This window comes from Homo sapiens, chromosome 12, assembly GCF_000001405.40.
Source record: "Homo sapiens chromosome 12, GRCh38.p14 Primary Assembly".
In the NCBI taxonomy this organism is placed as follows: Eukaryota; Metazoa; Chordata; class Mammalia; order Primates; family Hominidae; genus Homo; species Homo sapiens.
The window spans coordinates 111,381,600-111,407,499 of record NC_000012.12 but is presented as its reverse complement, the minus strand read 5'-3'; the positions used below and the strand labels follow the sequence as shown (position 1 = coordinate 111,407,499).

The 25,900-nt window shown below is 51.6% G+C and overlaps 1 protein-coding gene, 1 long non-coding RNA gene and 1 pseudogene across 12 annotated transcripts in view, besides 3 other annotated features; all 3 read right to left on the bottom strand.

The window, feature by feature from the left end:
- Positions 1–2,770, bottom strand: part of SH2B3 (SH2B adaptor protein 3) — a 46,894-nt gene extending 44,124 nt beyond the window's left edge. For 5 of the 8 annotated variants that reach the window (XM_011537719.3, XM_005253818.5, XM_005253819.5 and 2 more), the window contains exon 1: positions 1,223–1,577. The gene's annotated coding sequence lies outside the window, so the exon portion shown is untranslated. Of the gene's footprint in view, positions 1–1,222; positions 1,578–2,375 lie in introns of those variants that run through there. The other 3 variants (XM_011537720.4, XM_047428025.1, XM_047428026.1) reach the window with 1 other exon arrangement.
- Positions 1,239–1,818: a silencer, noted in NCBI's record as "silent region_4867". NCBI's record gives its function as "represses an Ori minimal core promoter by ATAC-STARR-seq in GM12878 lymphoblastoid cells {active_cell/tissue: GM12878}" and the evidence as "EXISTENCE:reporter gene assay evidence [ECO:0000049][PMID:35858748]".
- Positions 1,939–2,098: a silencer, noted in NCBI's record as "silent region_4866". NCBI's record gives its function as "represses an Ori minimal core promoter by ATAC-STARR-seq in GM12878 lymphoblastoid cells {active_cell/tissue: GM12878}" and the evidence as "EXISTENCE:reporter gene assay evidence [ECO:0000049][PMID:35858748]".
- Positions 4,121–4,370: an enhancer, noted in NCBI's record as "active region_7031". NCBI's record gives its function as "activates an Ori minimal core promoter by ATAC-STARR-seq in GM12878 lymphoblastoid cells {active_cell/tissue: GM12878}" and the evidence as "EXISTENCE:reporter gene assay evidence [ECO:0000049][PMID:35858748]".
- LINC02356 (long intergenic non-protein coding RNA 2356) overlaps positions 4,190–25,900 on the bottom strand; it is a 34,050-nt gene continuing 12,339 nt past the window's right edge. For 2 of the 4 annotated variants that reach the window (NR_187522.1, NR_187520.1), the window contains 2 exons: positions 10,627–10,669; positions 4,190–4,362 (listed from right to left, as the gene is read on the bottom strand). This is a non-coding gene — a long non-coding RNA (long intergenic non-protein coding RNA 2356). Of the gene's footprint in view, positions 4,363–10,626; positions 10,670–13,609; positions 13,715–25,900 lie in introns of those variants that run through there. The other 2 variants (NR_187523.1, NR_187521.1) reach the window with 2 other exon arrangements.
- Positions 21,820–25,714, bottom strand: HSPA8P14 (heat shock protein family A (Hsp70) member 8 pseudogene 14; annotated as a pseudogene).

Here is a 25,900-nt window from a genome sequence, read left to right as displayed (position 1 = left end):
AGGTCAGTGATGGGAAACCCAGACACAACCTGCGCCTGCATCCCTGGAGACCCACAGGCCCACTGCCCTGGCAGGGGCCCTGAGGCCTGGCTGCTAGCCGGTGTTAGGGAACTGTCATCTCCCCGGCGAGGGGCTGCGGGTCAGATCTCGGTCCCTCCTGCCACCAAAGCTGGCCTTGCCGACATTGCCTTGCCGGGGCCTCTGCTCTGAACCCCCCACCAGATTTCACTTCCTCCCACTCAGCCCAGCCTGGCCGTGCCCCTCCCTGGAGGCCCCCAGCTGCAGGCAGTGACCTCCTCACCTACATCATTGTGGCTGGGAATGGGGAAGAGAAACAGGAGAATGAGGAAACTAAAGAAAAAAAGAAGCGGGACAGGCAGGCAGACCCTCCTCTCCAGTTCCTCAAATGCAGTCCCCCTCCCTCAAAACAAAGCTCCCCTGGCCGGAGGGAGGGAAGGGAGGGAAGGGGATTTCTGCACCAGGCATCAGAGACCTCTGAAATACCATCCCTACCGTGCGGATCTAGAAGACCAACACCCACTCCAGACGTTTTTTGGTCGGGGGATTCCCAGGGAACCCCAGGCAAGAGGTGTGAGAGGATCAATACCAGAAACCTGTCTCTGGGACGCCTAGCCCTGGTGAACCGCCCAATTCAGCAGCATGCGGGGGCCTGGCCCGGTCGACCTCGGCAGTGCAGGAACTGGGGAGAGGGGCTTCCTGAATCAGGGCGCTACCCTCTTAGCCACATGGCCCGGAATGGGGAGTGGGGAGGGGCCGGCGCATCCTCCCCCGCTGCCCCCACACCCAAGGGCTCATCTGTGCTCACAGCCTCAGTTTGACTACTTTCACTTTCAGGGTAGCAATGGGTGACCCCTGACCGCTCCTCCCCAGGCACAAGTTGAGGGGAGGGCCGCCCCCAACCGGCGAGGCTACCGTAGGGTGGGCTGGGGGCGTCAGCGATGCCCTCTCCCCCATCCCACGGCCTCAGTTACCCCAACGCTCTCCCTAACACGTGTGTGGGTGGGGGTAGTGGCTGAGTGGGGGGTCGTAGGCGCTGGGAGCCGTCACCCCGGAACGCCTCCATCCGAGTTGGCTGCAGGGCAGTATTTTGGGCTGGGGGTGACGCGCAGAGCCCGGGCAGAACTGGACACGGGGCCTCCTCTTTCCCCACAAAAGCCCTCCCGGCCCCGGAGGAGGGGAGCGCGGGCAAACGCGGGCTCACCTGAGAGACAGGAGCTCTGGGCCCGGCCGGCCCATGGCGTCGCGCGCCCCCGGGCCCTCGAAATCCCGAGGGGGCGGGCGGGCCCCCGCCCTGGGCGCGTCCTCTCCCGCCCGCCGGCTCCTCGCTCGCGGCTCGCTCGAGCGGGGCTCAGGCAGGAAACCCGGGCTCGGAAAATGGCCAGCGCCTCATCATTTCCGCCGCCAGCGCTTGACAGTTGCGGGAGGATGCGCCCCCGGGCCGCCGCCGCCGGGGAAACTTTGCAGCGGCCGCCGTCGCCACCGCGGGCCGCGACAGTCCGGGCGGGCAGCCGGGCGGAGGCGGTGGCCCGGGCCCATGCCGCCCCGCGCCGTTATGTAAAGAGGAACCGGCCGTGCGAGCGGAGCCCGGCGGGGGAGGCCGGCCGCGACAGGGGCGGGGCAGGGGCGGGGCCACCAGGAGCCACGCCTCAGGCCGCGCGCGAGTCGGAGATTCGGCTGGAGGGGCGGGCCATGAGGGCGGAGCCCGGACTGGCCCCGCCTACCAATCCCGCTAGTCCGCGGCTGCCAGGGTCGGAGGGCTCTCCTGGCGCGGGTCCGGAAAAAGGCGAGGCCTTGCGAAGCCACGCCCACCACGTGCCCACCCGATTTCGCGTCCCACAGTCTGAAGATAGAAGTGAGGATCGGAGGGGCGGGGCGACTTTAGCCCCACCCACTCAACGCCGGCAGGTCACCAGGTGCCTCAGCGCCTGGAGGCGGGGCCAGATGAAGGGGCGGGGCCTAGGGCGGGCAGGGTCGAGGGGCCTGGCCTCCAGGGGGCGCGCCCTTGCTGACTCCCTCCTGCAGGGCCTTATCAGTGCCCGCAGGGCTGGGCGGTGCAATAGCGACCACGGCTTTCATCATCGCCCCAGGGAGGGAGCCCAGCCCTGCCCGACCCTGACTATCTGCGATCATGCTGACCCGACCCGCCACGGCCCCAGGCCCCCGATTTGGGTTCTGGCCCCAGCCCTCAGCTTTGCCTTTGCTACAGCCGGTGCCCGTATAGCCCAGCCTCGCTCCGGCCGCCCGTCCTGTCCCCCAATTCTAGGAGGGGTGCATCTTTCTCCAGGAAGCCCTCTCCGACCGCTGGCTTCCGTGGCCTCTGCGCCCACCCCCCTGCCCGCCCCCGGGCTACTTACATTTTCTCCACGGCCTCATGGGGAGCTGAGACGGACAGTGGGGTTCCCCCTAGTCCGGAGTGGGACATGCTCTCAGCCAGCCTCTCCCCCAACATGTGGGAGGGCGGGGAGGGAGGAATGTACTCTTCTCCCCCTCCCCCAACAGGAAACAAGTCGCCCACGCCCCCAGCTTGGAGGGGCCACCTCGAGTCTTCCCAGGCAGCAAGTGTCTCCATTCCACTGCCTCCCCCTCTTCCTACCCGGGCAAATGACTTGACTTCTCCGTACCTCTCCACTTCCTTGCCTATGAAATGGAAATAATGTGTACCCACTCTCCTGGCAGTGAGAATTAAGTGAGTTAATGCATTAAAGCAGTTAGCTCGAGGCTTGGCTCCAGGAAGCTCTCTGTGTTAAACAAATCGGCCCCAGTCCTGACCTTAGAACTACAGGAAGGGGTTCCCCAGAAGGTGGGGATTTCCAGACTCCGAGTAGATGGGGGAAGGGAGCGGTCTGCTACAGGATTCCTGGTGTCCAATGACCTTGAAGAAAAAGGCCACAAAAATCTGCTTTCCGCACATTTCCAGGCACTGTTCTAGGCGCTGGGAACACAGCAGTGAACAACACAGATATCCCTGCCTGCGTGGAGCTGATATTCTAGTGGGGGGACATAAGGCACGAATAAGCAAGTGGGATCAGCTATGACAATGACAAAACAGTTACGGGATGGAGAGCTGGAAGGGGATGTCTTAGATCCAGGGCTCAGGAAGGACACCTCTGCGGAACTAACATGTGAGCTTAGAACCCTCCATGACAAGAAGGATCCAGGTGCTATAACGTCTGAGGGAAGAGCATTCCAGGCCAAAGGAACAGCATGTGCAAAGGTGCTGAGGTGGGAATACATGTGGTGCTTTGGAATAAAGTCATAAAGGCAGTGGTGACACCTATACTGGTAAGAGATGATGTTTCAAAGGTGGGCCCATCACATGGTGTCTTGAAGGTCTTGGTGGGGACTTTGGGAATTATTTTGAAGGCAGTAGGGTGCCATGGAGGGTTGTGAGGAGAAGGACCTGTGGAGTGTGGGATTCAAGCTGTTCACACGGCATCTGAGGATGTGGGAAGAGGGGTGGGGTGGGGGAATGTCAATGAAGTCTAAACGAGGCCGGGTGTAGTGGCTCACACCTGCAATCTCAGCACTTTGGGAGGCTGAGGCCAGCGGATCACCTGAGGTCAGGAGTTTGAGACCAGCCTGGTCAACAGGGTGAAACCCTGTCTCTACTAAAAATACAAAAATTAGCCAGGCATGGTTGCACGCACCTGTAGTCCCAGCTACTGGGGAGGCAGAGGCAGAAGAATCGCTTGAACCTGGGAGGTGGACACTGCAGTGAGCCAAGATTGCATCACTGCACTCGAGCCTGGGAGACAGAGGTAGGCTCTGTCTCTAAAAAAAAAAAAAAAAAAAGTCTGAATGGATCATCCCATATTATTTGATCACTTTCTTATACCTGGGGACACTGCGGCCAAGAGAGAACAGTTACTTGTCTGTAGCCATGCAGCTGCCAGGCAGCACCCACAGAGCAGCCCGGTACCCAGCCAATGCCAAATGGCTGCTGAAATCTGCCAGCCACAAGCACTTTCCCTCTCACTGCCCAGACAGCAGCTCTGCTGACTTAAATTGGGACTTGTGGTTCTTCCCCTTTTTAATCACGGTTCAAACCTTCTCGCCTGCCAGATTTCTCGGAGGCCCAAACTGGTTTCCTTCCTCGCTTAGTCGCTTCTTGCCCACATCCCCGCCAGAGTCCAGTTTTTTGTTTTGGCGCTCGCTGAGACCCCAAGACTTCTCACTTTTTGTGTTTATTTTCCCTTGGAAAGGCAAAGGGATTCCAACAAATAACCTTCCCATCACCGTGCCCAGATTTGAGAGTGCCGCTGCCACGAACACAGCGAGGTCGTCGTCGCCACTGGGAGGCCGGCCAGCCACGGCTCTTCCCACTCGGCAGGTCACTGGGACCTAAGGAGAGAAAGGGTTATTCAAATTCCCATGACTGATCCGTAGCTCCCGGAAACAAGCCAGGCCGTCTTAGGGGAGCAGGTCCAACCGCCCTTCCTTCTTGCTGTGAAAAACACCAACACCTCCTGCTGGCCAAGTTCCAGAAAGCCGGAGACTCACAGGATTAATAACAATTACAGGCCACGCGCGGTGGCTCATGCCTGTAATCCCAGCACTTTGGGAGGCCGAGGCAGGCGGATCACCCAAGGTCGGGAGTTCGAGACCAGCCTGACCAACATGGAGAAACCCCGTCTCTACTAAAAATACAAAATTAGCCAGGTGTGGTGCCGCATGCCTGTAATCCCAGCTACTCAGGAGGCTGAGGCAGGAGAATTGTTTGAACCCGGGAGGTGGAGGTTGCGGTGAGCCGAGATCGTACCATTGCACTCCAGCCTGGGCAACAAGAGTGAAAATCCGTCTCAAAAAAAAAAAAAAAAAATTAAAAAGATAACGATTACAACACGAGTCAACAGCAATAAATTAACAATGATCAATGCTATTAATATTCATATTAGCAATTCGTATTAATAATAATTTAAATAACAACAAAAGTTAACTAGTACAAACACAAATACATGATAAGTGCTTGAGGTGATGGATACCTCATTTACCCTGATGTGATAATTACACATTGCATGCCTGTATCAAAATACCTCACATACTCCATAAATATATACACCTACTATATACTCATAAAAATTCAAAAAGTGGGCCAGGCGCGGTGGCTTAGGCCTGTAATCCCAGCACTTTGGGAGACTGAGGCGGTGGATCACAAAGTCAGGAGTTCAAGACCAGCCAGGCCAATATGGTGAAACCCCATCTCTACTAAAAATACAAAAATTAGCCGGGTGTGGTGGCGGGTGCCAGTAGTCCCAGCTACTCGGGAGGCTGAGGCAGGAGAATCGCTTAAACCCAGGAAGGGGAGGTTGCAGTGAGCTGAGATCACGCGACTGTGCTCCAGCCTGGCAACAACAGAGCGAGACTCCGTCTCCAAAAAAAAAAAAAAGAGTTCTCTGTTCTGTATCTCCTAGCTGTGCAGTCACATAGATTCTCTGGGCCTCAGTTTCCTCATCTGGAAAATGGGGACAGTGACAGGACTGACCCCATTGGGTTGAGGGGGAATTTGATGAGAAAACTCACATTGAGGGCTTAGGAGTGGGGGAGGTACCTCCACATAGCAACGACTGATAAAGAATGTTGAATATAGTGCAGGCTCGGTGGCTCATGCCGGTAATCCCAGCACTTTGGGAGGCTGCAGCAGATGGATCACCTGAGGTCGGGAGTTTGAGACCAGCCTTGTCAACATGGTGAAACCCTGTCTCTACTAAAAATACAAAAATTAACTGGGCGTGCTGGTGGGTGCCTGTAATCCCAGCTACTTGGGAGGCTGACGCAGGGATAATTGCTTGAACCTGGGAGGCGGAGGTTGCAGTGAGCCGAGATTGCACCATTGCACTCCAGCCTGGTGACAAGAGTGAGACTTCGTCTCAAAAAAAAAAAGAATGTGATTATAATCTATGATTGGGTGTGAGAGTCCCGTGTCCCTCGAGGGTTGTGAAGAGGAGTGGCCACAAAGACCAGTCCTGTAAACAACAGAGCTTCACACCCCTTTTACAGATGCAGACACTGAGGTTTGAGAGCAAAGATCTTGCCCAGGGTCACCCAGCCAGAGTGGAGGCCTTGCTGTCTGCATTTGTAAAATGTGCTTCTGCAGGCCTGGGCCACAGGCGAGGAGGAGGCCCGGGGACCTGGCCTGGCCTGGCCCCCAGCTGGGCAATGGCTACTGCTGGTGTTTCCCATGCCCGAGTTTCCATCACGGCACTGCTGTGCAACCTCCAAAGGTCCCCTCTTGCCACCAGCAACAGGCTCCCACTTTCTGAGCCTCAGTATCTCTGGCTTGTCAAATGGGCATGATAGTAGTTGGGTGAAGGGAAATGACATTGTGTAGGACACTTTGTCCCTAGTGGCCTTCAGTGAATGCACAGAGTGCTGAGCATTATCAAAGGACACTGCAGCACACTGGGCTCCTCCTGGCTGTTCCTCAAACTCACCTTCATGCTCCCACTTCAAGGCCTTAGCACTGGCTGTTCCCTGTGCCCAGAATGCTCTTCCACCAGATGTTTTTGTTTTGTTTTGTTTGAGACGGAGTCTCACTCTGTTGCCCAGGCTGGAGTGCAATGGCTCAATCCTGGCTCACTGCAGCCTCTGCCACCTCCTGGGTTCAAGTGATTCTTCTGCCTCAGCCTCCTGAGAAGCTGGAATTACAAGTGAAAGCCACCATGCCCAGCTAATTTTTTGTAGTTTTAGTAGAGATGGGGTTTCACCATGTTGGCCAGGCTGGCCTTGAATAGCTGACCTCAGGCAATCTTCCCGCCTTGGCCTCCCAAAGTGCTGGGATTATAGTCGTGAGCCACCGCGCCCAGCTGTCTACCCTTGCTTTCTTCACTCCCAGGAGATGTCTGACTGCCCACCAAACCTAAACCAGCCCTGCCCCCATTGCTGACCATCTCCATCTCTCTTCTGCTCCTGCTTTTTTTCTTTCTTTTTCTTAGAGGCAGGGTCTCACTCCATCACCCAGGCTGGAGTGCAGTTGTACAATCATGGCTCACTGCAACCTTGAACTCCTGGGCTCAAGCGATCCTGCTGCCTCAGCCTCTCAAGGAGCTGGGACTACAGGTGCACCCCACCATGCCTGGCTAATTGTTTCTATTTTTTGTAGAAACAGGGTCTCTCTATGTTGTCCAGGCTGGTCTCAAACTCCTGGGCTCAAGCAATGCTCCCACTTTGGCCTCCCAAAGTGCTAGGATTACAGGAGCCACCGCGCCTGACTTGCCTCTGCATGTTTTTTCTTCCTCACCCTTGTGGCCCCCTGACTGATACCAGAATCATTGATTCATCTGTTTATTGGCAGTCTCTTTCCCCCACCCCCAGGAGCAGGTCAGCTCCACTCGGCCAGGCATTTGTGTGTCTTGCTCACTCTTGTGAGCACAGTTCTTGGCACATAACAGGTGCTCCTCGTGGCTTAAAAACAGTCCACACTTCTTTGACATACCTCCCTTGAAAAGGTGGAACCTGATTCCCCTGCCCTTGAGTGTGGGCTGGACTTAATGACTCCTTCCTTCCTTCCTTTCCTTCCTTCCTTCCTTCCTTCCTTCCTTCCTTCCTTCCTTTCTTCCTTCCTTCCTTTCCTTCTTTCTTTCTTTCTGACAGAGTCTTGCTCTGTCACCCAGGCTGGACTGCAGTGGTGCGATCTCGGCTCACTGCAACCTCCGCCTCCTGAGTAGCTGGGACTATAGGCACGAGCCACCACGCCCAGCTAATTTTTTGTATTTTTAGTAGAAACAGGGTTTCACTGTGTTAGCCAGGATGGTCTTGATCTCCTGACCTCGTGATCCGCTCGCCTCGGCCTCCCAAAGTGCTGGGATTACAGGCGTGAGCCCCCACACCTGGCCTTAATGAGTCATTTCTAACAGAGACTAAAGTGGAAGTGACGCTGTGTGACTTCTGAGACTGAGTCATAAGAAGCATTTAGGCTTCTCCTTGTACTCTCTTGAGCCATCCACTCTGGGAGAAGCCAGCCACCGTGTCTTAAGGACACCCAAGTAGCTTTATGGAGGTCCGTGTGAAGAGGAACTGAGGCTTCCTGCCACCAGCCAGCAAGGAACAGAGACCTCCTGGCAACAGCCAGGACTGAAACCATCACTTCCAACTATCCTGGAAGTGAATCATCCAGCCCCAGTTGGACCCCAGATGAGAACAGTCCTAACCCATTTTTGTTTGTTTGTTTATTTAAAAGACGGGGTCTTGTTTCATTGCCCAGACTGGAATGCAATGGCTATTCACAGGCACGATCATATAGCACGATCTATAGCCTTGAACTTCTAGGCTCAAACAATCCTCCTGTCTCGGCCTCTCAAATAGCTGCAACTGCATGTGCGTGCCACCAGCCCATGTTTCGGACTACCATCTCAGGAGTGAGAGACCCTGAACTACAAGCTAAGTCAGATTGCATGTGAATTCCTAAAACCATATGAGATAATAAAGGTTTGCTGTTTTAAGCCAGTAAATGCAGGAGTAATTTGTTACCCAGCAATCAATAATTAACACAGAGCTCAAGAAACCTTGGGGGGGTGAGGTCCAACCAACCCTTTTCCCACCCATTAGGGTCCAACAGAGACCAAGAGGGCTCAGGAAATGGTCCCCCTTGGTCAATACACATCTGCCCCAGGCCAGAAAATAATTACATTACTGGGTTCTTCCCTTTTTGCCTGGGTGGGCAGAACTCCCAAGGCCGATTCCTGGGCTCAGGGTCTGATCTGCTGAGCTCAAGTGCCTGATGTCATCTCTCCCTGTGCTTCCTTCCCTTGGATTCAGTTCTGTTTTCTGTCCTCCCAGTGCCTTAGAAGCTAAAATTGCCACAAGTCCTTCCCTAAGAAAAGCATGAACAGTATTTACAATCTGGACTCCATTTATGGAAGCGTGCGCCACACTGAGAACATCACAGGCCTTATCTCTTCCACCCCAAATGAACGGTTTGCTATTCATTTTCCCATTTGTCAGATGAAGGAACTGAGGCACAGGGCAGTGAAGTGACATGTCCATGTCACACGACTGGCAATGAAGCAGCTGGTGTGGACTAAAGACTGGCCTCACTGTAGTGCCCTACCTCTTAATCACTTACTGAGCCCAAGTGATAAAAAATGGTAATAATAACAGAATTAATGATTCTGAATTAATGGTTAATGATTTTTTTTTTTTAGATGGAGTTTCACTCTGTCACCCAGGCTGGAGTGCAATGTCTCGATCTCGGCTCACTGCAACCTCCACCTCCTGGGTTCAAGCGATTCTCCTGCCTCAGCCTCCTGAGTAGCTGGGATTACAGGTATGCACCACTACGCCCAGCTAATTTTTGTATTTTTAGTAGAGACGGGGTTTCTCTATGTTGGTCAGGCTGGTCTCGAACTCCTGACCTCATGATCTGCCTGCCTCAGCCTCCCAAAGTGCTGGGATTATAGGCATCAGCCACCACACCCGGCCCAATGATTAATGATTAATTAATGTTCTTTTTTGTCCTTTTTTTTTGGGGGGGGGTTGGGGGAGGGAGTCTTGCTCTGTCACCAAGGCTGGAGTGCAATGACTCGATCTTGGCTCACTGCAACCTCTGCCTCCCGGGTTCAAACGATTCTCGTGCCTCAGCCTCCCAAGTAGCTGGGATTACAGGCATGAGCCACCACGGTTGGCTAATTTTTTGTATTTTTAGTAGAGATGGGGTTTCCCCATGTTGCCCAGGCTCGTCTCAAACTCCTGACCTCAAGTGATCCGCCCGCCTCGGCCTCCCAAAGTGCTGGGATTATAAACGTGAGGCACCTCGCCCGGCCTAATTAATAATTCTGAGTGATTAATGAATTATTAGAGGATTATGTGCCAGGGACTACTCTGAGGGCTTAGTTTAGGTAGATTACAATTTACTTTGCCCAACAACTGTAAGGAGAGAATGTTGTTTTCCCCCATTTGACAGAAAGGAAACTGAGGCACGAAAGGTGAAGTGACTTCCCCAATTCACGTGGCTGGTAAGTGGCCCAGCAGCGATTTACACCCAGGCTCCCCAGTTCTGATCTTGACCAAAAACAGCGGCGGCCGCGCACCCCAACCCCAGACCCCCGCTTCCACCTTCCCCCGCCCCAACCTCAGCCTGCGAGCCGCCCCCTCTTCCGCTAGCCTGGGGAATCTGGTTTCTGGGGGAAGTGACTCAGTAGCCTGAGGCCCAGTAGATAATTATTCACTTCCAATCCCGGTAATTAGAGTCCCTAATAGCTCCGCAGAGGACGTACAACCCAGTTACCCCAGCCGTCCCCACCCGTGACCCGGGATCAACGTGGGGCACGCGAGCTCCTGGGGCCGGGACTTGGCCGCAGTCCCAGGCATCAGGCCCTGAGGGTGGTAACGCGCGGTGGCAGCCACTTGGTGGCAGCCGCTTTGCGCGGGGCTCTGGCGCCCCCTGGTGGCTGTGGGGCGATCGAGGGCTGGGAAGCGGCCTCCTAAACTCCCCTGCCTCACTCTTTCTCCCGCAAAGAACCTTCCTCTTGGATTCCCCCCAAGCCTTCCTGGAAGCTTCCCAGGCTCCAGGTTGGATGCCTCTCAGCCACCATCGAGTAGCCATCAACGTTGAGTACACGGGTTTGGGGACAGCTTAATGGCTAGCTTCTCCCTTCAGTGCTGGGTCACCTTGGGCAAATGACTTGGGCTCTCTGAGCTTCAGTTTCCGCATCTGTAAAATGGGAACAAAGAATGAGGACACCAGTGGGGCGTGGTGGCTCACGTCTGTAATCCCACCACTTTGGGAGGCCGAGGTGGGAGGACTGCTTGAGACCAGGAGTTCGAGAGCAGCCTGGCCAACAGGGTGAAACCCTGTCTCTACTAAAAATACAAAAATTAGCCTGGCGCGGTGGTGCATGCCTGTAATCCCAGCTACTTGGAAGGCTGAGACAGGAGAATTGCTTGAACCTGGGAGGGACAAGTTGTAGTGAGCCGAGATAGTGCCACTACTCCAGCCTGGGTGATAGCGTGAGACTGTCTCAAAATATATAAATAAATAAACAAATAATGCTGACTATTACTAGCTAAACCTGTTCTCAGGTCTTTCTTTTACAATGAGGAGTGGATTACTAAGAACAGCTTAATCCTACCCGCCTCATTTAATCTACATTAAAAGAAGCATCAAGGCCAGGTGCAGTGGCTCACGCCTGTAATCCCAGAACTTTGGGAGGCCAAGGTGGGTGGATCACCTGAGGTCAGGAGTTCGAGACCAGCCTGGGCAACATGGCAAAACTCTGTCTCTACTAAAAATACAAAAATTAACCAGGCGTAGTGGTGCATGCCTGTAATCCCAGCTACTTGGGAGGCTGAGGCAGGAGAATCGCTTAAACCAGGGAGGTGGAAGTTGCAGTGAGCTGAGATCATGCCATTGCACTCCAGCTTGGGCAGCACAGCGAGACTCCATCTCAAAAAAAAAAAAAAGCATCAAAATGTTAGCTAAAGCCAGGTGAGATGGCTCATGCCTGTAATCCCTGCACTTTGGGAGGCTGAAGTGGGAGGATCACTTGAGCTCAGGAGTCGGAGGCCAAGCTGGGCAACATAGTGAGACCCCCATCTCTAAACAAACAAAAATGTTAGCTAAAGTACAGAGGCAAAAGAATTGAAAACAGGCACTCAGACAGATACTTGTACATGAATGTTCATAGCAGTGCCATTCACAATAGGCAAAAGATAGAAACAACTCATGTGCCCACCAGGGGATGAATGAATCAAGACAATGCTATCTATACAATGGAATATTACACAGCCATAAAAAGGACCGAAGCATTGATATATGCTACAATGTGGATGAAACTTGGAAGCATCATGCTAAGTGAAATAAGCCAGTCATAAACGGACAAATATTGTGTGATTCTGCTTATGTAAAGTATATAGAATAGGTAAACCCCTAGAGACAGAAAGTAGACCAGTGGTTGCCATGGGCTATGGGCAGCGGGAATAGGAAGTAACTTCTAATGAGTATGGGGTTTCCTTTAGGGGTGATGAAATGTTCTGGATCTAGACTGAGATAAATGATGGTGGCACAACACTGTGAATGTACTAAATTTAGTTACTTCATGAGGCCGGGTGCGGTAGCTCAAACCTGTAATTCCAGCATTTGGGGAGGCCAAGGTGGGAGGACTACTTGAGCCCTGGAGTTAAGAGACCAGCCTAAGCAACATAGTGAGACTCATATCTCTACAAAATAAAATAATAATAATAATAATAATAATAATAATAATATTCGGGCAAGGTAGAATGCGCCTGTAGTCTCAGCTACTCAGGAGGCGCTGTGGTGGGAGGATCACTTGAGTCCAGGAGTTTGAGGCTGCAGTGAGCGGTGATCCTGCCCCTGCACTCCAGCCTGGGTGACACAGCAAGATTCTGTCTCTAAGTAAATGAATAAATTTAGTTAATTCACTAACTAAAATTAATTAATTCATTTTGTTATGTGACTTTCACCTTAAATTTTTTAATGTGGAAAAAGGTGTTAGGATGCACCCTGCCCTCTCTATTCCTTCAGCCCTATCCCCCCACCCCACCCCCATCCTCCATCTCCCATCCTGTTGCCCAGGTGATCTTGACCTCAAGATGCAGATGTGCGGCAGAGGCTGGGAAGTTCTTCTCCCACACCCCCAGAACCTGGCAGAGGCTGGGGCTGCTCCCACAGAGGAGGTGACATATGTACGGGCCACTTCTCGCCTGCAAATCAGCCAGGGTGGCTTCCTGGTTCTAGATCACCAACTTGAGGCCTCCTGAGCCCCTTGCCAGCCCAAGGGGACTTGGGCAGGGCCTGAGGCTGCAGAAAGGCATGGGGGTGCCCGCCCCTGGAGCTTGTCCACCTGTGCCCTCTGCACTGGAGGAGGCAGCAAGCAGGGCCTCTCTGGGGTGTAAGATGTCAAGATGCTCAGAGAGGGGCAGAAGGTGTCAGAGGGCACTGGGTGTGGTGGCTCACGTCTGTAGTCCCAGCACTTTGGGAGGCCAAGGCGGGCAGATCGCTTGAACTCACGAGTTTGAGACTAGCCTGGGCGACATGATGAAACCCCCATCTCTCTCTCTCTCTCTCTCTCTCTCTCTCTCCCCATATATATATATATATATATATATATATACACACACATATATGAAAAGAGGGTGCCAGAGAGGGAGGCAGGAGTTGAGGTCATGGCCGGAAGGGCCCCGAGCCAGGAGAGTGCCCCAAGCCAGCAAGCAGGGTGCAAGGTGCAAGGAGCTGCACTTTCCTCTGCCCTCTGTGGGGTTCTCAGGCCTATCAGACCAGACCATCAGTCACCCAGATGGAAAGGGATTATCTTCAGAGCCTCAGGCACCTGAGTTACTTCCTTTCAGAACTCAGACAGGGGTGGGCTTGAGCTTATTCTTGGGTCAAGAGCAGGACACTGGGGCCAGCTGCCTGGGTGCGCCTCAGGGCTCTGCCACATAGACCTGCTGTGTGACCTTGGGGGAAGTCACTTCATGTCTCTGAGGCAACTGGGGCCACAGGGCCATAGAAAGGAGGAGAGGAGAGAGGGGAGTATTTGGCAACACTGTTAGAAGCAGAAGTAGAAAGCGGAGGGTGGGGCTGGAGGGTGGGGAGCGCAGCTGACCCTGCGTTTCCCTGCTGGAAGCCACTCACCGTGAGGCCGAAGTCGAAGTGGACATGGGCTGTGGCTGCCTGACTTCCCCTTGTGCTGGTAGAAGCACCTGATTTTCCATCCAGTCGGAGTTCAAGATGTTCTCTGGGGCTAACCCTCCCTCCCATGCCCCAGTGACTGGTTCAAGGGTGGGCAGGGCCAATGAGCCTCAATTCCAGTCTTTAACAGCACAGTCGGATAAGAAAATACCTCATTTGGGCTGGGCACGGCGGCTCAATGCCTGTAATCTTAGCACTTTGGGAGGTCAAGGCAGGCGGATCACTTGAGGTCAGGAGTTCGAGACCAGCCTGGCCAACATGGTGAAACCCCATTTCTACTAAAAAGTACAAAAATTAGCTGGGCGTGGTGGCACGCCTGTAATCCCAGCTACTCGGGAGGCTGAGTCAGCAGAATCGCTTGAACCTGGGAGACAGAGGTTGCAGTGAGCCGAAATCGTGTCACTGCACTCCAGAGGACATGAGCTTGGAATTTCTGAGGGCTGTCTTGCCTGGGAGTGAACACACTCATAGTAGAGCAAAGCCCAGAGACAGAGAAAAACCATCTTGATGACAATGTCTGTGCACCTAGATCCAGCCATACCTGAAAGCAGTCACTCTTGGACTTCTCAGCTCTGTAAGTCAGTCATTTCTTTTTGGCTGAAGCCTGTTTGTGTGCAGCTTTTAGCCACTTGGCAATGGCCAGAGAACAGCACTGGGTCCTCCTAGCAATCATAACACCCAAATGTGCTTTGTGGGCTCCTCATACCTGAAACAGGAGACTGGGATGGTCCTGTTTGCATCTATTGGGTTGACTGGAATGGCCCTGGGGTTGGACGTTTGCAGCACCAGGCAGCAGAGGAAGGCTGAGAGGAGTTAGGGCCCCATAAGGTCAAGAGAATACACTGCCCCTCAACTTGAGATTTGTTGAGCCCCTACTATGTGCTAGGACTTCTCCAGGCACTGGGGATACAGTGGGGAACACAGCAGACATGGTGTTTGTTCTCATGGTAGACAGGCAGTTGGAAAGTGAATCCTTAAATACAAAGTGACAAGTTAAATACCCTTAAATACAGAGTGACAAGTTCATGGGCCATGAAGCTCACTGAATTCTTCTAACAACCCTTATCATCTCCATTTTCCAGATGAGGAAACTGAGGCTCACAGAGGTGAAGTGACTTGCCCAAGGTTGCACAGCTACTCAGATTCTAAGCTCGGGTTTACTTGCTCGCTGTGTGACTTCAGGCAAGCCGCGTCACCTCTCTGTTTGGTTTCTTTATGTTTAAAATAGAGATAGTAAAGTCTTTCCTAATTATCAGTGTCATGGTAAGAAGCAAAACCCTCAAGTGCTCGGTAAACATTAGCTATTATTTTTATTTTATTTTATGTTTCTGAGCTGGAGACTTGCTCTGTCGCCCAGGCTGGAGTACAGTGGCACAATCTCAGCTTGCTGCAAACTCTGCCTCCTGGGTTCAAGCCATTCTCCTGCCTCAGCCTCCCAAGTAGCTGGGATTACAGGCACACCACCACGCCAGCTATTTTTTGTATTTTTAGTAGAGACAGGATTTTGCCATGTTGGCCAGGCTGGTCTTGAACTCCTGACCTCAGGTGATCCACCCGCTTCAGCCTCCCAAAGTGCTGGGATTACAGGCGTGAGTCACCGCGCCCAGTCTGTTTCCCCTGTTTTACAGATGAGGAGGCCAAGGCACAGAGAGGTAAAGTGACTTGCTGAAGGACACACAGTTTGCAAATGGCAGAGTGGGGATTAGAACCCACTCATGCATATTAAACCCATTAATTTCCAGCCTAATGCATGGTTACAAGTTGCTTTTTACTATTTTTAAAAATTTTGGCTGGGCGTGGTGGCTCACGCCTGTAATCCCAGCACTTTGGGGGCCCGAGGCGGGTGGATCACGAGGTCAGGAGATCGAGACCATCTTGGCTAACACGGTGAAACCCCGTCTCTACTAAAAATACAAAAAATTAGCCAGGCGTGGTGGCGGGCGCCTGTAGTCCCGGCTACTCAGGAGGCTCAGGCAGGAGAATGGCGTGAACCAGGGAGGCGGAGTTTGCAGTGAGCCGAGATCGCGCCACTGCACTCCAGCCTGGGCGAAAGAGTGAGACTCCGCCTCAAAAAAAAAAAAATTTTTTTTAAGAGACAGTCTCGCTGTGTTGCCCAGGCTGCAGCGCAGTGGCTATTCACAGGCACGATCATAGCGCACTACAGCCTTGAACTCCTGGCCTCAAGCGATCCTCCCGCCTCAGCCTCCCGAGTAGATGGGACTGCAGGTGCGGACCACCACGCCCAGCACAAGTTGCTTTATGAGTCTGGGGCTTCACCGGCAAATGAAAGACCTCCTCTGCTCTTCTGCAATCCTGGATGCGACTCAGGAACCATGCCTGCCAGCCTCACCTCCCTTCAGCTCCTGACCCTGAAGAGCCAGAAGGAAAATAAATCCCACGAAATCTATCTACAGAAGGCAGCCATTCTGGGTTTCTGGGCGGGAGTTGGTTGGTTGTGGGTTTTGCTAAAGCAGTACTTGGATAGGATTTTTTGGATTTGAAGTGGAGAGTGCTAGGTGGTTAGGAATACCAGCTTTGTGGGCATGGTGGCGCATGCCTGTAGTCCCAGCTACTCGGGAGGCTGAGGCGGGAGAATTTCTTGCCAAGATCGCGCCATTGCACTCCAGCCTAGGCAACAAGAGCAAAATTCTGTCTAAAAAAAAAAAAAAAAAAAGGAACACCAGCTTTGGTGACCAGTAGGCTAGCACCCGCTCTGCCTCTTCCTGTGAGAACACTGGTGCCTCACTCACCATCTCGGAGCTTTGGGTTGAGGATTCACAGTGAGGCACCATGTCAAATAAACACAGCCCCGGCCCCAGGCAATACCTCTTCGTTGCTTTGAGCAGGTGAAATTTAGAAATTGAAATTGCCCCTTGGGAGAAAATGTCCAGGAATTTGGGTGTCTGTGGCAGGGGTCTGGGGGGAAATGAGAGGCTCCCTTAAAGGAGGGACAAAAGGATAAAGGGAGAAGTTGCCAATGCCAGCTTTTTTTGTTTGTTTGTTTGAGGCAGGGTCTTGCTCTGTCGCCCAGCCTGGAATGCAGTGGCGTGATCACTCACCGCAGCCTCGACCTTCCAGGCTTGAGTGATCTTCCTGCCTCAGTCCCCCAAGTAACTGGGAGTACAGGTGAATGCCACCACGGCCAGCTAATTTTTATTTTTATTTTTTGTAGAGAGGGAGTCTTGCTATATTGCCCTGGCTAGTCTTGAATTCCTGGCCTGAAGCATTCCTCCCGCCTCAGCCTCCCAAACTGCTGGGATTACAGGTGAGAGCCACCATGTCTCATGTGCCACCTTTTAAAGCAGGACTCATAAATCCTGCACTTGCCAGGTGTGGTGGCTCACACCTGTAATCCCAGCACTTTGGGAGGCCGAGGTGGGCAGATTGCCTGAGCTCAGGAGTTTGAGACCAACTTGGGCAATATGGCGAAACCTTGTCTCTACTAAAAATACAAAAAAAATTAGTCAGGCTATGTGGTGCACACCTGTAATCCCAGCTACTCGGGAGGCTGAGGCATGAGAATCACTTGAACCCGGGAGGAAGAGGTTGCAGTGAGCTGAGATCATGCCACGGCACTTCAGCTTGGTGACAGAGTGAGACTCTGTCTCAAAAAAATAAAAAAATAAAAAAAAATTAAAACAACAACAACAACAAAAACCCCTGCACTTGAGGCAGGGGATGAGCCGGCAGGACCTTCCAGGTCTTTGGGACTTCAGCAAAATTCACTCACACACAGCAACCCAGCCCTTGGCTGGTGTCTCCTTTTTCCCATGTATATACCAGGGGAAGGGGACCCTTGAAGTGGAGGGACTCTGGCCCTCACTATCGCTCCCCCTTCCTCCATGTCCTGCCCAGTGTGGAGCCAGGCCAGCGTGTTTGTGGTGGAGGATGATTTCGGTTCCCTCTTGTGGGTGGCTGGCTCAGCCCACTTCTTGGGTGGGGTGGCCATGGTGGAAGGAAGCTCCGCCTCAGATCCCACCTGGACCACCATCTGCCCCTGCTGGTGGCTAGGTGAAGAGGGGCATCACTGCCATCAGTCCAGAGACTGAGATCTGGATGCCAAACAGCGGGGCCAGGGGACACCAGGTCAGCCACTGACTCATATCCTCGTCACCAAGCACCTGCTATGTCCTGGGCACTGCCAGGTGCTGAGACACAGCGGTGAACAAGGCAGACCAAACCCCCTGCCTTCCTGGACCTGCCTTCCAATGTGGGGAGAAGCCCGCCAAGGGTACATCCATAGTTATCAAGCCCAGATACGTGACCTGCAATTGGCTTCTCCTGGTTTTTCTCCTATGTCACTGGCTGTATCTTCTCATTTCCTTTGTGGGTCCTGCCACATCTTCCCAACCTCCTGAGAAAAGCCCACAGGCCTCCATGATGTCATCTCTCCTCTCCCCTCCTCTCTGCTGCAGCCACATGGCCTCCTGCCTGCGGGCCTCTGCATGTGCTGTTCCCTCTGCCAACAACGCTGTTCCCTGGCCATCTGCATGGTTTGTGCCCTTATTTCCTTCAGGTCTTTGCTCAAAGGCTGCCTTCTCAAGGAGGCCTTCCTCGGTCCCCTCCTAGTAAAATGACAAGCCCTGCAACCCATCCTCATGAACAATTCATATCCTCTTGCCCTGCTTATTTTTCTCCTGGGCTCTTAACTTCAATTCATGGACTGTACGAATGTTATTTACTTATTTTCCCCTCTGGTCAGGAAGGGCAGGGGCACTTGTCTTGTCTGTCTTTAAAAAAATAATAAGTTAAATGAGGTGAAGTTCCTATAACATAAAACTATTTTTTTTTTTTTTTACATAGAGATGGAATCTTGCTATGTTGCCCAGGATTGTCTTGAACTCCTGGGCTCAAGTGATTCTTCTGCCTTAGCCTCCCAAGAGGCTGGGACTACAGGTGTGAGCCACTGCGCCCAGCAAAACTAACCATTTTATTTATTTATTTATTTATTTAGAGACAGAGTCTTGCTCTGTCACCTAGGCTGGAGTGTGGTGGTGGCAGGATCATGGCTCACTGTAGCCTCGGCCTCCCAGGCTCAAGTGATCCTCCTGCCTCAGCCTCTGAATAGTGGGACTCCAAAAAAAAAAAAAAAAAAAGCCCAGTGTACAGGTGTGAACCACCATGCCCTGCAAAACTAACCATTTAATTAATTGTTTAATTTTTTTGATAGAGTCTTGTTCTGTCACCCAGGCTGGTGTGGAGTGTCATGATCTCAGCTCACTGCAACCTCTGCCTCCTAGGTTCAAGTGATTCTTCCACCTCAGCCTCCTGAGAACCCCGGAATTACAGGCAAGCACCACCATGCCCGGCTACCTTTATATTTTTAGTAGAGATGGGGTTTCGCCATGTTGGCCAGGCTGGTCTCAAACTTCTGACCTCAAATGATCCGCCTGCTTTGGCCTCCCAAAGTGCTGGGATTACAGGTGTGAGCCACTGTGCCTGGCCATTGCCTGTCTTTTTAACTTCTATCCCTGGTGCCTGGGACAAAGCAGTGCCCAGTAAATACTGGTTGAAAGAATGGCTAATGGGAAGCAGCGAAGGCCTCTGACTTAGCGGGAGGGGAAGGGTTGGGGTCACAGACCTTCCTGGAAGAGGCAATGGCTGAGTGAACACTTAAAGGATGAGGGGTGGCTGAGTGAAGGAGGAAGCCTCCTGGGAAGGGGACCAGCACATGCAAGGGCCTGGAGCCTGGCGCACTCTGGGAAGAGAGGGAGGCCAGGCAGCTGCAGCGAAGCGTGAGGAGAGTAAACCATGTGTGAAGAGGCTTGAGGGGTAGCCAGCAGCCAGGATAAGGAGGGCCTTGTCACCCATGGGATGGAGTCTGGACTTGCTCCCAAGGCCATGGGGAGCCATGGAAAGGCTTTGGGCAAGAGGGTGCCATGACTTGATTTCATGAAAGTTCTAAGAGGATCCCTCGGCTGCTCAGTGGAGAATGAACCCTGGGGATGAGGGAGTTGGGAGTGGCAGAAGGGAGGCCGGAAGGGAGGCTGCAGTAACCGACCTGGGGAGAGATAGTGGTGGCCTGGGATGGGGAAGTGGTGGCAGAGATGGAGAAGTGATGGATTCAAGACACGGTTTGGAGGTAAAATCAGGACTTGATCTCGGTGGCCAAAGCCCAGTTCTAGTTCCCAAATTTCCCTTTTTAGTTCTTCTGACTCACTGTCTGCTCTCCACACCTCTCCTGTTCCCAGCCACAAAGATGCCTGGGTGTTCACAGTAGCCCAAACGGAGACACCCTGCGGTCCTCAATGGATGGATGGATGGATAAACCAAAGGTGGCATATCTGGCCAGTTGCAGTGGCTCACACCTGTAATTCCAGCACTTTGAGAGGCCAAGGTGGGTGGATCACTTGAGGTCAGTAGTTCAGTTCGAGACCAGCCTGGGCAACATAGTGAGACCCTGTCTCTACAAAAAATACAAACAAAAAAATTGCCTGGAGTGGTGGCATGCACCTGTAGTCCCAGCTACTCAGGAAGCGGAGGTGGGAGGATTGCTTGAGTCCAGGAGGTTGAGGCTGCAGTGTGCCATGATTGTGCCACTGCACTCCAACCTGGGGAACAAAATGAGATCTTGTCTCAAAAAAAAAAAAAAAATTAGGGTATCCATACAAGGGAACATGATTCAGCCATAGAAAAGAAGAAGGACTGATACATGCCACAATGGGATGAGCCTCAAAACCACGATGCTAAGAGACAAAGCCAGTCACAAAGAAACACGTAGTGTTGATTCCATTCATATGAAATGTCCGGAATAGGGAAACCCATAGAGACAGAGAGCAGATGGCTGGTTGCCAGGGGCTGGGGGGAGGGGCAATGGGGAGTGACTGCTTAATGGATACAGGGCTTTTCCTTTTGGGGTGATAAAAATGTTTTGGAATGATCAATGCTTCCAATTATCAAAGTAAAAAGGAAAAATAAAAGTTTTGGAACTTGATAGAGGTGGTACCTTCATAATGTTGTGAGTGTACTAAATGCTGCTGAATTGTCCACTTTATTTATGTATTTATTTCAAGATGGGGTCTCGCTCCATCACCCAGGCTGGAGTGCAGTGGAGCAATCATGGCTCACTGCAACCTCAACCTCCTGGGCTCAAGCAATCATTCTCCCACCACAGCCTCCTGAGTAGCTTGGAATACAGGTGCCTGCCACCCAGATTGGCTATTTTTTTGGGAGGTGCCAATTTTAAATAGTTTTATTTAAGACATTGCATTTTCCACTTAGAATACAGTGCTTATAAACTACAATGTTACTTCCACATGTTCCATATAAGCATTGAGAATGTCCAGTAATTTACTCTAGCAGCTCGACTTTATTTATTTATTTATTTATTTATTTATTGAGATAGAGTCCCACTCTGTCACCCAGGCTGGAGTGCAGTGGCGCAATCTCTGCTCACTGCAACCTCCGCCTCCCGGGTTCAAGCGATTCTCCTGCCTCAGCCTCCCGAGTAGCCAGGATTACAAGTGTGCACCACCATGCCCAGCTGATTTTTGTATTTTTAGTAGAGACAGGGTTTCACCACGTTGGCCAGGCTGATCTTGAACTCCTGACCTCAAGTGATTCACCTGCCTCAACCTCCCAAAGTGCTGGGATTACAGCCATGAGCTACTACACCTGGCCCCTAGCAGCTCAGCATTAAAACTGCCACAGAATTTGTTACAAATTTGGGTTCTTCAATGTTTTGACTATGTGGAATCATGTGATCTTTATATTGGGGTTGGCTTAATCAACCTCTTTTTTTTTTTTTTTTGAGATGGAGTCTCGCTCTGTCGCCCAGGCTGGAGTGCAATGGTGCCATCTTGGCTCACTGCAGGCTCCGCCTCCTGGGTTCATGCCGTTCTCCTGCCTCAGCCTCCCGAGTAGCTGGGATTACAGGCACCCACCAGCACACCCGGCTAATTTTTTGTATTTTTAGTAGAGACGGGGTTTCACTGTGTTAGCCAGGATGTTCTCGATCTCCTGACCTCGTGATCTGCTCACCTTGGCCTCCTAAAGTGCTGGGATTACAGGGGTAAGCCACCATGCCCGACCTAATCAACCTCTTAAATGGTTGTCCCTGAGGAAGTAGGGACACTACGTGTTTCTTTGTGACTGGCTTTGTCTCTTAGCATCGTGGTTTTGAGGCTCATCCCATTGTGGCTTGTAGCAGTCCTTCATTCTTTTCTATGGCTGAATCCCTGAGGAAGTAGGGAAGTAGAGGGAGGAGCTCCATGACCAGGGACTCCCCCAGGTGAGCCTCCTGGCGGTCCTCCTGCACTTGGGTCCAGCTTGGTAATGATGGGGTTACAGCCTTTCTCCAGCTCTTTCTGCTGATGATCAATTTCTTCCTTCTCTGTCATCTGATTCTTATGGAGCCAGTTGATAATTTCATTACACTTGTCAAGAATTTTCTGTTTGTCCTCACCATTAATCTTGCCTTGAATTTTCTCATCTTCAGTGGTGACTTTCCTGTTGAATGCATTGGATTCAAATGAATTCTTGACCCTCTGCTTCTCATCTTCAGCTTTGTACTGCTCATCTTCCTGGACCATACGCTCAATGTCCTTCTTGCTCAAACGGCCCTTGTCATTCATTAGTGATAGTAATCTTGTTCTTTTTTCCTGTACTATTTTTTATTTTTTTGAGACATTGCTCTCTTGCCCAGGCTAGAGTGTAGTGGCACAAACTCGGCTCATTGCAGCTTTGACTTCCTGGGCTCAACTGATCCTTCTGCCTCAGCACCCCCAAGTAGCTGAGACTACAGGTTCACCCTATCACACCCGGCTAATTTTTTTGTATTGTTTTGTAGAAATGGGGTTTCACCATTGTTGCTCAGGATGGTCTCAAACTCCTAGGCTCAAGCAATCCACTTGCTTTGGCCTCCCAACATGCTAGGATTACAGGCGTGAGCCACCACACCCAGCTTCCTATACTTTTGTCCACAGCAGAGACACTGAGGATGTCACTAGCATCAGTGTCAAGTGACTTCAGTGTGAGGAGCACTGTCACAGGAAGTATGCCCGTGAGTTCAAACTTGCCAAGCAGGCTGTTATCCTTGCTCACGGCACGCTCGCCTTCATAAACCTGAGTAAGCACAGCAGGCTGGTTGCCAGAGCAGGTAGTGAAGGTCTGTGTCTGCTTGGTAGGAATGGTAGTATTATGCTTAACAAGGACTGTTGTGACTCTGCCAGCAGTTTCAATGGAAGGGAAAGAGGAGTGACATCCAGGAGCAATGAGTCTTGAACATTTTCTGATTTTCTGATCTGTTTGTCTCCAGATCAGATGGCTGCCTGGGTAGCTGGATCGTAAGAAACAGCTTCATCAGGGTCAATGCTCCTATGCAGTTTTGTTTGTTTTTTTGAGACAGGGTCTCCTACTGTTGCCCACGCTGGAGTGCAGTGGCACAGTCATGGCCCACTGCAGTGTCAACCTCCTGGGCTCAAGTGATCCTCCTGCCTCAGCCTCCCAAACTGTTGGGATTACAGGCATGAGCCACCATGCCCAGCCTTCAGTTCTTTTCTATTGAAGAAGTCTTGGGCAAGCTCTGAATCTTGCAGTTAGAAGCCGAACCAGCAACCAGGGTGATGTCATGAATCTGTGACTTGTCTAGTTTGGTGTCTCAAAGGGCTTCTTCTACGGGGTCCAGGATGCTATGGAACAGGTCAGCATTCAATTCTTCAAATCGGGCATGGTAATGGAGGTATAGATGTCAATTCCTGCCTAGAGAGAATCAATCTCAATACTGGCCTGGGTGTTGGAAGAGAGAGTATGTTTTGCATGTTCACAAGCCGCATGAAGGCGTGCGGGCAGCTCTTTTTCTTTTCTTTTTTTTTTTTGAGACGGAGTCTCCCTCTGTCACCCAGGCTGGAGTGCAGTGGCCCAATCTCTGCTCACTGCAATCTCTGCCTCCCGGGTTCAAGCAATTTTCATGCCTCAGCCTCCTGAATAGCTGGGATTACAGGCGCCCACCACTATGCCTGGCTAATTTTTGAAAAAAAAAATTATTTTTTGAGACAGAGTCTTGCTCCTGTCACCCATGCTGGAGTGCAATGATGCGATCTTGGCTCACTGCAACCTCTGCCTCCTGGGTTCAAATGATTCTCTTACCTCAGCCTCCCAAGTAGCTGGGATTTCAGGTGCCTGCCACCACACCCAGCTAATTTTTTTTTTTTTTTTTTTTTTTTTTGAGATGGAGTCTCGTTCTGTCGTCCAGGCTGGAGTGCAGTGGTGCGATCTTGGCTCACTGCCACCTCCGCTTCCCGGGTTCAAGCGATTCTTCTGCCTCAGCTTCCCGACTAGCTGGGACTACAGGAACGTGCCACCATGCCCGGCTAATTTTTTGTATTTTTAGTAGAGTCGGGGTTTCACCATGTTAGCCAGGATGGTCTCAATCTCCTGACTTCGTGATCCACCTGCCTCAGCCTCCCAACGTGCTGGGATTACAGGCATAAGCCACCGTGCCCAGCCATACCCGGCTAACTTTTGTATTTTTAGTAGAGATGGGGTTTCACCATGTTGGCCAGCCTGGTCTTGAACTCCTGACCTCAATGATCCAACGACCTTGGCCTCCCGAAGTACTGGGATTGTAGGTATGAGCCACCATGCCCGGCCAGCTCTCCTGTTCTCACTGAGGTCCTTCTTATGCTTGCACTTGAGCTCAGCAATGCAACGGCTGTCCATTTGGTTGCAAAGTCTTCTCCACCTTCTCCAGCTGTAGATTTGACTTCAAAAATTTCATCCTCAATAGTGAGGACTGACACATCAAAAGTGCCACATCCCGCACGCCTATAGTCCTGCTACTTAGGAGGCCAAGGTGGGAGGCTCTCTTGATACCAGGAGGTTGAGACCAGCCTGGGCAACATAGTGAGACCTCATCTCTACAAAAAATAAACAAAAATTAGCTGGGCATGGTGGCAAACAACTGTAATCCCAGCTATTTGGGAGGCTGAGGTGGGAGGATTGCTTGAGCTCAGGAGAGCAATGTTGTAGTAAGCCAAGATCGTGCCACTGCACTCCAGCCTGTGTGACAGAATGAGACCTTGTCTCAAAAAATAAAATAAAATAAATAAATAAAATTTTAAAAAGTGCTACCTCCCAGGTCAAAGATCAACACATTTCTTTCAGTTCCAACCTTTTGGTTTAAGCCATAAGCAATAGCAGCAGCAGTTGGCTCATTGCTAATTCTAAGTCCATTGAGACCAGCAATAGTTCTAGCATCTTTTTGGTAGCCTGATGCTGAGTCATTAAAGTAGGCTGGCACTGTGAGCACAGCATTGGTAACAGTCTTCCCAAGGTAGGCTTCTGCAATTTCCTTCATCTTTGTCACAACCATAGGGGACATCTCTGGATAGAAGTTTTTTGTTTTGAGACAGGGTTTCGTTCTGTTGCCCAGGTTGGAGTGCAGTAGCGTGATCATGGCTCACTGCAGCCTTGACCTCCTGGGTTCAAGCAATCCTCCTGCCTCAGCCTCCTGAGTAGCTGGGACTAGAGGTACACACCACCACACCTGGCTAATTTTTGTATTTTTAGTACAGCCAGGGTTTCACCATGTTGCCCAGGCTGGTCTCGAACTCCTGGGCTCAAGCAATCCACCCGCCTCAGCCTCTCAAAGTGCTGGGATTACAGGTGTGAGCCACCACACCTGGCCTGAAGCTTTTTGTTTTTCCCTTGTTCTCTCCTTGGACCTTGGGTCTGCCAGCATCACTCACCACCATGAAGGGCCAGTGCTTCTTATCAGACCAGACAACAGTATGATCAAATCCGCATCCAATAAGATGTTGGCCATCAAAAACTGTGTTGTTGGGGTTCATTGCCACTTGATTCTTTGTGGCATCACCAATCAATCGTTCAGTAGCCGTAAAGGTGACATAGCTTGGAGGGGTTCAGTTTCCCCAATCATTGACAATTAACTTTACCTTTTTGTGCTGGACAATACCCACACAAGAGTTGGTGGAACCAAGATCAACACTAAATGCAGTTCCCTTAGAAAACGGTTGCTGGCATGCAGGCCTGGCTCAGATTGTGAAGAGAGACATAGGAACCCTAAAAGCAGTGGCCATATTCAATGAGGCCCTAATTTAAAAAAATTTTGGAGAGATGGGATCTCATTGTATTGCCCAGGCTGGTCTCTAGCTCCCAGGCTCAAAGTGATCTTCCCGCCTTGGGCTCCCAAAGTGTTAGGATTACAGGCGTGAGCCACCATGCCTGGCCCTAAATTATTCACTTTAAAATGGTTAACTTTTTGTTTTGTGAATT